This window comes from Homo sapiens, chromosome 15 (genome assembly GCF_000001405.40).
Source record: "Homo sapiens chromosome 15, GRCh38.p14 Primary Assembly".
In the NCBI taxonomy this organism is placed as follows: Eukaryota; Metazoa; Chordata; class Mammalia; order Primates; family Hominidae; genus Homo; species Homo sapiens.
In genome coordinates this window covers 56,314,644-56,326,929 of record NC_000015.10, presented here as the reverse complement: position 1 = coordinate 56,326,929, position 12,286 = coordinate 56,314,644, and the positions used below count along the sequence as shown (strand labels likewise).

The following is a 12,286-nucleotide window of genomic DNA, read 5'->3' as shown; positions in this document are numbered from 1 at the left end:
AATGAATAATTACAATTATCATTAACTTATTGACTTAGATGCTTAGTGTCCCACCCAATACTCCATCCAACTTCTAATGGCTACCTCCATGCCTGAGGGCTTTTTATTCCAGATTTGTGGAATATAGCTCTGCATGTGAGTGAGATGAAAATGGTGAGGAAGTAGCCCACTACTGAGATAGCGTAATTCTGAGGTATTTATTTTGCAGCATCTCCCAGCGTTTCTCCATGAGATTTTTCTCCAGTTGCCCACCCTGACAGCTGGCTTACGAACACACCTTTCATTGGCTGGATTATTTTCCTTATATTACTCCTTTACTCTTCTGAATTGTTCTGCATTTCCAAATCTGATTTTTACTCAAATCCTTGTCTCATCTGCTTCTGGACATACCCAAACTAAGATAGTTACCTGTAATTTCTAAATATTTCTAAAAATAACTCAGATTATTTATGTAAAACGTGGATGTTTAAAAATATTTTATATTAAATGTTTTATAAATTAGATGATAAAAACATTTATAATTGAAAAAATTGAGTTTATTTTGTGTCCTTCAGTAAATATATTTGTCTACAAGTTTTCGTTTTGAAGCTGTGGTGTGGGCATGAAAACTACTTTCAAATATCAAAAGGCTGATACACGCAAGAAAAAATGGAATGCATTCACGATGACACTTAAAAAACCATAGAAAAAGAGGCTAGTGGGTAGAAGTTACAAGGAGAAGGATTTCTATTCAAAGAAGGACTTCCTAGTAGTGAAAGCTGTCCAAAATTGAAATAAATTTCTTGTGGGAAAAGAGGACTTCATTCAGTAGCAAGTGACAGTATGTAAGCAGTCACTTGTCACTTGGATGACCCTCATCTCTTGAGGGTCTCTAATCCTTGAGTTTATCTCATCAAACTATCTGGCTACCAAAGAACCATTTGTGCTTTCTAACCAATGATACCTGGAGTGTTAAATAATTGGGGACCGTATGTTCATTATCAGACCTTGAGACATGAGTGAAGGAATCATTGAAGCACCTTGTGCAAATGGTAAATGCACAGTCACAAAACGTAGAGGTGGGAAGAGACTTAAGATTCTGGATAATCACTAAATTTTGGTCAAAAAATGTTGACTTAAATTTTCTCATTATTAATACTGGCTATAGTCAGACCATGAAATAGGGATTGTTTTATATACTCAGTTGTAGCATTTCAAATATTATATGTGAACGAGAGTCCATCAAGAACATTTGGTCAGTTTGGACAAATAGAAAAATTAATTATGCATCCTTAAAACAAAAGGAAACAACACATATCTTTACCTTACATTATGAGAGGGTGCAGAGACAGGAAGAGCCAATGTGTAATACTGTTGGATCCCCCAATTTTGATAATGAACATTTTCTTAAGGTAGTTAAAGGAGATTTTAAAAATATGGTATCATAGAAATGGGTAAGAGGTTAAGTATGGAGCAACAGGGATGAATAAAAGAAAAGGAAGTGTTTTGCTAATGCCTTTGGAATCTCGAGTCTTTTGTCCTTTCATCCCTGTAAGTCATACCAGACTTTCTAAATCACGTATTTCATGTGTTCTGTTTTCAAAAACATGGCTCCATTTCTGTGGCAATGAGACTTCTGTATCACAAGATCCAGGATCTGTTCTTTCTTTCACCACTATCTAGCTGATGGATTAACCTTGAGAAAGTGACTTAATCTTTCTTAATTTCTCCATAAATAAGCGGACTATATGATTCTATAATTCACTTCCAGAATTAGCATTTGTGTTTCTACAAGGTGGTAATCAATGCTACACAGAAAAAGAGAACACATACTCATCTACCAAGGAACCAAGGACCTTCTAAAGCAGGCTGTCTTACACAGTGTATTGCCAAACTGACTTAAACCTGTTTGATTATTTCTGATTATTAGGCTCTATTGGAACCTTCTGATGACTAGAGGTAGGTAAGAACTATTGGTCTTTTCCTTTATAATCTGTCTATTATGTGGATTTTATAATGAAATCAAGTTATAGACCAAATCTGCCACACTTACACATGTTCTTCAGTAAGAAGGAATAAAAGCAGTCACACAACCTATAGTGTAAGCTTGCTAAAGCCCCACTTTTCTGACCTTTTAAATGCTAGAGCAAGTAACTTGCATGAAAGAGTCACTCAAGGCAGATGCATCATGACTTAGCTAAACATCTAGCCGAAGCCAGGCCACAAAATCCATCCTAAGTAGCTATACAAAGAATTAATTGGAATTCTAAGCATAGAGCACCATTCCAAAGGGTAAAAATAATGAGTTCACCACATTTCCATACTTTGTCCGTTCATGCAGCTGTGGAAAAGCCTATACAATATTCCTACATAATCCACATCTGTAGAATACTATATATTTTACCAATGAAAAATAATTTCTAATGCAGTATGCTAATTAACAAACCCTCTCAGTTAATTAAAGATATTAGGAATATTCCCTGTGGAATGTGAGCCTTTTTCCTACACACCACTTATGTGTGTAACTCAATGTTAATATGCCTTCCTAAGGTGTATATTAAAATTATACACATATATCCCACACTGTCCAAAATGAACTATTCTAAATTAAAGTATAGACTTGTAATGATCTGATATGCAGGCTTCCAGGAAGGACTACTTCCAAAAGGACAAGAACTTGTACTGTTTCTTTTTTTTTAACGGATAAAAAATTGTATTTACTTAGAAGCATTCAGAATGGCAACAAAACCACTGCGACTTTTTTTTTTTGCAATTACAGAGTGATATTTAGTTAAAAGAACAATTATTTTGTGTAAGAGACAACTGAAGATGAAAACACTACCATCCCCATATATAACTAATTTGTGCTGTGCACCAATAAGAACCTGCTTTCGATTTCTATGCCAGTTTACGACCCCCATACTGTACCAGGCCAGGTTTGTGGCTATGGAAAATACTACCAGGGCATGATATCTAAAGACATATCCATTAGTGTGTTAACTATACAAAAAAGGACACTGGACAGTTTAAAAACAAACCTTACAGAGCCTTACATTTCAATTATTTTCTTTAAAAGGAGTGAGTTGTGTACAGGGGAGTTAAATGGTTTGCAGACAAGAAAAAAGTCACTAGAACCAACTACTACTACTTTTTTCTTCCTCTTCCCCCTCCCCCTCCCTCTCCTTCTCCTCCTTCTCCTCCTTCTCCTCCTTCTCCTCCTCCTCCTCTTCCTCCTTCTCCTCCTCCTCCTTCTTCCTCTTCTTCTTCTTCCTCTTCCTCTTCCTCCTCTTCATCTTGTTCCTCTTCCTCCTTTTTCTCACTTTTTTCAGCCTTGACATCTCCCGTTTTTTTGCTGCATCAGGCTTTTCTTTAGCTTGGTATGCAGCAATATCCTTTTCACATTTTTCTTTCAGCTTCACAGCCTTCTTTTCATAAGGCTGCTTGTCATTTGTGCAGTGTTATTCCACATCTCTCCCAGTTCCTTTGCCTCATCACCAATGGGATGTTCTCTTTTGACTTCTGGGCGATATTCAGAACAGAACAAGAAAAAAAGCCGAAGGAGGCTCTCAGATACATAGAGTTCCTTGAACTTTTTTTGTTTCCCCTTTAGGAAACACAGGTTTTCATTACTTTTTCATGTCCACCTTTGCCATATCTTCAAATTTTCCTTTCTCTTTGGCAGACATGATCTTCCACTACTCTGAGCACTTCTTAGAGAACTTTGAGAAGTTGACTGAAGCATTGGCTGCTTTTTCTTGTGCTCCTCCCAACAAGTTTGCACAAAGAATGCATATGAGGACATTTTGATTCTCAGCTTCTTAGAATCTCCTTTGCCCATGGTTAGTTATTTTTTCTCAATGAGGCAGAGTCATCCAGTACCCATCCAGCTCTCACTTGCCCCAGTGCTGTCTCTATGGAGCTCAGTGTACTGCCATAGCTGTGCCTCCGTTCTTTATTTTTGTTAGGAAGTACTCTGTGATATTCTTTTCCTCCTCCTTCTTCTCCTCCTCTCTTTACCATGCCTCACCCCATTCTCTCTTTACCATTCTTCCTACTATACTCTTAGCATCATTCCCACCACCTTGTCTTCAACATGTGATATTTTTTTACTGTAATGTGATTATGTACTGTATTAAAATATTAACTCCTTAGTGTGAATTACAGTAATATTATTTGGCCCCTTTGTTCATTCCTCACACACATCTGGCAAAACTTTGACTCTGGATTAGTAAAACCATCTGCCTTCTCCATTCATACACATGGGCTCCTGAACATCGCTAGAGAAAAATCATACAACTGTGCCTTGGAGTCACTAAAAATTTAGTCACCAACTTCAGCTCACCTTCAAGTTGCCTAGCAGCATTTCTACACGTACTACAACATCTCTGTAAGGCCCAAGAGATAAGGAATCCTGAGGTAATATTAAGTATATCATTTCAATGATGAGACAGGATTCTGGTTGGGCAGTAGAAAAAAGCTCCCTCTCACCCACTCCTTCCACACTAAAACTCTTCCAAGACCATTTCTGCATGACCACGATGGTTTTCTTAATTCCATAATTGCCCCCTAATGTTTCTTCTCCATATAAGAGCCAGAGTAAGCCTTTAAAAATGCAAAGGTGACCGGGTAGTTACCCTGCTTACTCTCAATGGCCTCCTGCCACACTTAAAATAAAATGCACTTCTTACTAAGGCCTATCAGACTTGACACAACCTGTCCACTCCTCACTTCTTCCCTACTCCTCTCTATCCACACTGGTATTCTTGCTGATCCGCAGACCTGAAGCTCATTTCCACTCCTTTTCTGCTTGCTTTTCCTTTGGACAGGAACACTCTTCCTCGGAGGTGGACATGGTTCCCTTTATTTTTAAATTTACATATAGTAAAATTTACTGTTTGTGCTGTATACTTATATGAATTCTGACATATGCCTAGAGTCATTTATCTATTCCCACAATCAAAATATAAAGCAGTGTGATCATTCCTCAGAACTCCCTCAGGCAGCCAATTTACAGTCAACCCCTTCCCCCACCCACTCCTAACCCCGGCAACTACTTATGTTTTCTCCATCTCTATTGTTTTTAGACCCTAGTATTTTTACTCTAACCATTATTTGAGGTCTAGCTAGTCCTAATATCTGCAGGAGTCATTCAAATCAGTACTTGAGGATAGCAAAATAATTAATTAAGCATGACTGAAAGAGTATTAACTTAAGCATAGATATATTTAATAAACTAAATATAAGCTTTAATGGGAATGTGATGTAGATTCTCAGGGCAAAACCTCAGCTAGGCTGGTTAGAAGAATAATTTCCATGCTGGCCTGGCTTGGCTCAGATTCCTCCTCTCCTAGTTTGTCAGGTTCCTGCTAATTCCCTTCCCAATATCTGTTCCTGTCCTTCATAAATTACCTTTTCATATAATGGCCTTAATACTAATTGCAGTATTTTCTTTGGATTTACCAAAGTCCAAAGATCCTTTTAAGCACTGAATAACTGTTGTTGAATTGCTGAAGGTTACTCTAATGATGTCTGCAAAATGCTACTTGCCTATGCAGTTCCTGAAGTTCCCAGTCTCTTTCCATTTGAGCCCTGCATTCTGAGTCTGCTCCCTCACTCAGGAACCAGTTGCTTCTTAACCTGAGTATTCTGTGCTCTGGCCTTGGTTCTTTGGTTTGCCACATCTAAGTTTTGAGTATGCCCTGGGACAAGGGGGTTTAAATGTCAAAGTCAAACTTCCAGCTTAGTTACTGTGGCCTTATTGTATTCCTCTTTGATTATATCACACCCACTAATCATTCGCATCTACTAGGAACTCTGACCCATGAATCACACAGTGGCATTGAGTTTCCCACAAGTAGGAAATAAAAAATAACAAGAAAGCTCACAGGTTAGCTCCTGTACCTGCAGCTGTAGCATAAAAACCAGAAGTTAACAACTCTGGCAGGCTACGATTGTAAAGTGGCTTTGACAAACTTTGATGATTCACAACGTGGCTTAGGCTTTGTCTCATGCATATTAGTGGAAATGTACTGTCTTTATTTCCTGGTTCCAGCCACTCTTCACAATATTCCTGAGGGAGATATGTGTCCAAAGGGGCAAAGGAAAACAAAGGAGCCCTTTAGTATTAGACCAGTATGACCATATGGCCAGGTTTGCCAGGACAATGCTGGATATAAGGTGTAATTATCATAGCACATTTTTTACTCTCAAAGTGTACCCATTCTGATGACAAATCATATGGCTACCCTAATTATATACAGCAAGCATACACAACATATTACTCTCCCTATCTCCACAGCTCTGGAGGGAATAGGTAACTGAAGTTAAATGAGGTCACAGGGATTGGACCCTGATCTGATAGAAATAGTGTCCTTAGAAGAAACAACACCAGGGTGAGTCCTATCTCTCTCATGCATATGTGCTCTTGCTCTGTCTCTCTCTTTCTCCTCTCTATCTCTCTCTTTCCCTCTATCCCCACACACAGACAAGAAAGGTCATGTAAGGACATAGTAAAAAGGAAGCCCTCTGCAAGCCAGGAAGAGAGCCCTTACCAGAAACTAAATTGACTAGAACCTTGATCTGAGACTTTCCAGCCTCCAGAACTGTGAGAAAATAAATTTTTGTTGTCTAAGCTACTCAGTCTATGGTATTTTATTATGGCAGCTGGAGCTGACTAACATAGAGGTATAACAAAAACTATTGCCCTAAAGAAGCTTACACTTCAGCAGAGAATACACTCTGATTACTTTTTAGAGAATAATTCCATTGCAGTGGAAGTGAGCACCTAAATACTATCTAATACTAGACAAAATAAAATGAGAGTTTAAAAGATGTTGCAATAAAAATGCCTATGAGGGCACCTGTACCTGCAGCTGTAGCATCAGATACAGGGCCCAGGGGAGACTAGTTAATTACAAGAATATGACACAAGGTTTTAGAGAGGACATAGAGGAAAGAGTTTTGTCTCTGTTCAGCCTGATATACCTCCTTAAATAGGTGATCCTGGCTCCACATCATATACCATGTTTTGACATGGACCACCTACCTCACATTCAACAAACCTATGTTTTGCATTGAACCTACCCATCCTCCAGTCTTCTGACCACTGACTTTAATACTCATTTTCCAACTTCCCCCCATCTGAAAGATATGATTCACAATATTTTCTTGGCCATAACACTGGCTCATACAAACTGGGCTTCTGCCTCCTCATCCTGGGAATTGATCATAGGGCCAATTTTGACTGTGCTCTTACCTGCTGACTCTCTCATTTGGTGCTGCCATTTCCCTAGGTTTCTGCTGGGCCCAGACAAGTTGGATTTTGAGAAAGAGAAATAAATTAATATGAAGAAAATGAAGTTTCAACATTAAAACTGAAATCAACATGCAAATCTGAGGAACAGCAAAAGCAAACACGAAAAGCTTGAAAGGGTACCTTTTTATTATGGAAAGAAGAATAATGTGTGATTAAAATTTTTGCATACTCTGTACTCTAAGTTCTGAAATCTGCAATCAGAGCATCAGAAGGGTTGAAATGCCCACTATGATCTGTGATTTGTCTTATGTATATGTCTTGTTTTGTTGACACAGTTGGTAAGAGTCTTCTGCTTGTGTATCATGGTAAGTATTATCATTAAAAACCCCTCCTTTGATATCTGAACCACTTAGTAATACAGTCTTAGTAATGAGAAACTTTAACTTAGCCATTCAAATGGTCAAGACGTTTTGAAATGGTTTATTGTGGCCATCACAGAGGGGTTGGTCCTGCCTTATGACCTAAGAAATTCTCAAATTTATAGTGATAATAGGATAATACAGATGGATGATACAGATTTTTAAAATTTCACTTGTGAAACTTCCTCTCTGAACAATACTGGTGGGATTTTTAAATACTACTTTAAGCAATTAAATAATTTTCTTTTGTATTCTAAACCTAGGCAAACAGAGACATTGAAGACCTTTAATACAGTATGGATGTGGGCATGTTATGTACAGGGTTGTAATAGCGTAGAGTTCTTTAATCTCATTTGTTGAGTAGTCTCTTAACAACTGCATAAATTATTAATTATAAAACTGCATTGATGGGTTTATAATATAATGACATGTGTGACAATAATAGCACAAAGGAGGGAGGAAGAAGTGGAGCTATATCGGAGCAAATTTTTATATACTATTAAAATTACAATGGTATTAATCTGAACTTGATTGCTTAAGTTAAGATGTTAACTGCAATCTCCAAGAAAACCACTGAGTATTTCTCAAAAAAATAGTAAAAGAAACAACAAGAGAATTAAAATTATATGCTAGATAATATTTATTTAACACAAAAGAAGGAAGTAATAAAGGAATAAAGAAACAAAAAAGATGAAAGACATATAGAAAACAAATGGAGAATAGCAGACATAAATCTTACCTCATCAGTAATTTTATTAAATGTAAACTAAACACTAATCAAATTTAGTGGAAAAACCACTCCAATCAAAAGGCCAAGAACTGTAGAATAGATAAAAACATGATCCAACGATATGCTGCCTACAATATGATGCACTTTAGATTCAAATGTACAAATAGGTTGAAAGAAAAAGATGACAAAACATATAGCATGCAAACAGTAAACAAAAAAGAATTGGAGCAGCTATATTTATATCAGATGAAATAGACGTCAAAGCAAAAAGTGTTAACAGAGACAAAGAAGGACTTTTTTAATAATAAAAGGATCAACGCATTAGGAACATAAATAAAAGGGTCAATTCAACAAACACAAAACAATTACAAATATATATGCACCTAACAACAGAGCTTCAAAATATATAAAGCAAAGATTGAGAGAATTGAAGGAGAAATAAGACAATTCAACAATAAGAGAGATTTCAGTAACCCAGTTTCAATAATGGATAGAACCAATAGACTATAAACAAGAAAGCAGAAGATTTGAAAAATGCTATAAACCAACTAGACCTAATAGACATCTATGAACATTCCACCTCAAACAGTGATATACACATTCTCCACAAGTGCCCATGAGATATTTTCCAGAAAAGATCATATGTTAGGCCATAAAACAAGCCTCAATAAATGTGCCCTCCAACAAAAATTGAATAAAATTAAAAATCAATAAGAGAAGGAAATTTGGAAAATTCTCAGATATGTGGAAATTGAATGACATAATCCTAAATAATCAATTGTCAAAGATGAAATCACAAGGGAAATTAGGAAATACCTTGAGATTAATGAAAATGAAAGTACAATATATGGAACACAATTAAGCTGTACTTAGAAATGTCTAGCTATAAAGGCCTATATTTAAAAAAAGATCTCAAATAGAAAGCCTAAATGTCTGCCTTAATAAACTAGAAAAAGGATAGTAAACTAAATTCAAAGCAAGTAGAAGGAAGAAAATAATAAAGATTAGAGTAGAAATACATAAAACAGAAAATAGAAAAACAATAGAGAAAATCAATAGAAGTTGGTTCTTTGATATGATTCACAAAACTGACAAACCTTTAGCTAGACTGAAAAGGAAAAGAGAGGGGAAAACTTAAATTGCTAACATTAAGAATAAAGAAGGGGGCAGATATCTGCCTACCTTACAGAAACCAAAAGGACTATAAGGGAATGAATAATTGTTTGCCAATGAACTCAGTAGCCTAGATGAAATGAGTATATTCCTAGAAAGACAAACTGGTCAATTTGACTTGAGAATAAAGAGAAAATCTGAATAGATTCATAACAAGATATTGAATCCATAATAATAATTAAAAACTTCCCACAAGGGGGGAGGAGCCAAGATGGCCAAATAGGAACAGCTCCGGTCTACAGCTCCCAGCGTGAGCGACGCAGAAGACGGGTGATTTCCGCATTTCCATCTGAGGTACCGGGTTCATCTCACTAGGGAGTGCCAGACAGTGGGCGCAGGTCAGTGGGTGCGCGCACCCTGCGCGAGCAGAAGCAGGGCGAGGCATTGCCTCACTTGGGAAGCGCAAGGGGTCAGGGAGTTCCCTTTCTGAGTCAAAGAAAGGGGTGACGGACGGCACCTGGAAAATCGGGTCACTCCCACCCGAATACTGCGCTTTTCCGACGGGCTTAAAAAACGATGCACCACGAGATTATATCCCGCACCTGGCTTGGAGGGTCCTACGCTCACGGAGTCTCGCTGATTGCTAGCACAGCAGTCTGAGATCAAACTGCAAGGCGACAGCGAGGCTGGGGGAGGGGCGCCCACCATTGCCCAGGCTTGATTAGGTAAACAAAGCAGCCCGGAAGCTCCAACTGGGTGGAGCCCACCACAGCTCAAGGAGGCCTGCCTGCCTCTGTAGGCTCCACCTCTGGGGGCAGGGCGCAGACAAACAAAAAGACAGCAGTAACCTCTGCAGCCTTAAATGTCCCTGTCTGACAGCTTTGAAGAGAGCAGTGGTTCTCCCAGCACGCAGCTGGAGATCTGAGAACGGGCAGACTGCCTCCTCAAGTGGGTCCCTGACCCCTGACCCCCGAGCAGCCTAACTGGGAGGCACCCCCAGCAGGGGCACACTGACGCCTCACACGGCAGGGTACTCCAACAGACCTGCAGCTGAGGGTCCTCTCTGTAAGAAGGAAAACTAACAAACAGAAAGGACAACCACACCAAAAACCCATCTGTACATCACCATCATCAAAGACGAAAAGTAGATAAAACCACAAAGATGGGGAAAAAACAGAACAGAAAAACTGGAAACTCTAAAAATCAGAGCACCTCTCCTCCTCCAAAGGAACGCAGTTCCTTACCAGCAACGGAACAAAGCTGGATGGAGAATGACTTTGACGAGCTGAGAGAAGAAGGCTTCAGACGATCAAATTACTCTGAGCTACGGGAGGATATTCAAACCAAAGGCAAAGAAGTTGAAAACTTTGAAAAAAATTTAGAAGAAGGTATAACTAGAATAACCAATACAGAGAAGTGCTTAAAGGAGCTGATGGAGCTGAAAACCAAGGCTCGAGAGCTACGTGAAGAATGCAGAAGCCTCAGGAGCCGACGCGATCAACTGGAAGAAAGGGTATCAGCGATGGAAGATGAAATGAATAAAATGAAGCTAGAAGGGAAGTTTAGAGAAAAAATAATAAAAAGAAATGAGCAAAGCCTCCAAGAAATATGGGACTATGTGAAAAGACCAAATCTACATCTGATTGGTGTACCTGAAAGTGATGGGGAGAATGGAACCAAGTTGGAAAACACTCTGCAGGATATTATCCAGGAGAACTTCCCCAATCTAGCAAGGCAGGCCAACGTTCAGATTCAGGAAATACAGAGAACGCCACAAAGATACTCCTCGAGAAGAGCAACTCCAAGACACATAATTGTCAGATTCACCAAAGTTGAAATGAAGGAAAAAATGTTAAGGGCAGCCACAGAGAAAGGTCGGGTTACCCTCAAAGGGAAGGCCATCAGACTAACAGCGGATCTCTCGGCAGAAACCCTACAAGCCAGAAGAGAGTGGGGGCCAATATTCAACATTCTTAAAGACAAGAATTTTCAACCCAGAATTTCATATCCAGCCAAACCAAGCTTCATAAGTGAAGGAGAAATAAAATACTTTACAGACAAGCAAATGCTGAGAGATTTTGTCACCACCAGGCCTGCCTTACAAGAGCTCCTGAAGGAAGCACTAAACATGGAAAGGAACAACCGGTACCAGCCGCTGCAAAATCATGCCAAAATGTAAAGACCATTGAGACTAGGAAGAAACTGCATCAACTAACGAGCAAAATAACCAGCTAACATCATAATGACAGGATCAAATTCACACATAACAATACTAACTTTAAATGTAAATGGACTAAATTCTCCAATTAAAAGACACAGACTGGCAAATTGGATAAAGAGTTAAGACCCATCACTGTGCTGTATTCAGGAAACCCATCTCACATGCAGAGACACACATAGGCTCAAAATAAAAGGATGGAGGAAGATCTACCAAGCAAATGGAAAACAAAAAAAGGCAGGGGTTGCAATCCCAGTCTCTGATAAAACAGACTTTAAACCAACAAAGATCAAAAGAGACAAAGAAGGCCATTACATAATGGTAAAGGGATCAATTCAACAAGAAGAGCTAACTATCCTAAATATATATGCACCCAACACTGGAGCACCCAGATTCATAAAGCAAGTCCTGAGTGACCTACAAAGAGACTTAGACTCCCACACAATAATAATGGGAGACTTTAACACCCCACTGTCAACATTAGACAGATCAACGAGACAGAAAGTCAACAAGGATACCCAGGAATTGAACTCAGCTCTGCACCAAGAAGACCTAATAGATATCTACAGAAC

The 12,286-nt window shown here is 38.6% G+C and overlaps 1 protein-coding gene and 1 pseudogene across 8 annotated transcripts in view, besides 1 other annotated feature; both read right to left on the bottom strand.

Moving 5' to 3' along the window:
- Window positions 1–12,286, bottom strand: part of TEX9 (testis expressed 9) — a 216,038-nt gene that overhangs the window by 133,081 nt on the left and 70,671 nt on the right. The gene's annotated exons all lie outside the window — the stretch shown is intronic.
- Window positions 3,193–3,831, bottom strand: HMGB1P33 (high mobility group box 1 pseudogene 33; annotated as a pseudogene).
- Window positions 9,944–10,495: an enhancer, noted in NCBI's record as "OCT4-NANOG-H3K27ac-H3K4me1 hESC enhancer chr15:56608633-56609184 (GRCh37/hg19 assembly coordinates)". NCBI's record gives its function as "activates a minimal SCP1, AML or CMV promoter by ChIP-STARR-seq in primed H9 embryonic stem cells {active_cell/tissue: H9 hESC(primed)}" and the evidence as "EXISTENCE:reporter gene assay evidence [ECO:0000049][PMID:30033119]".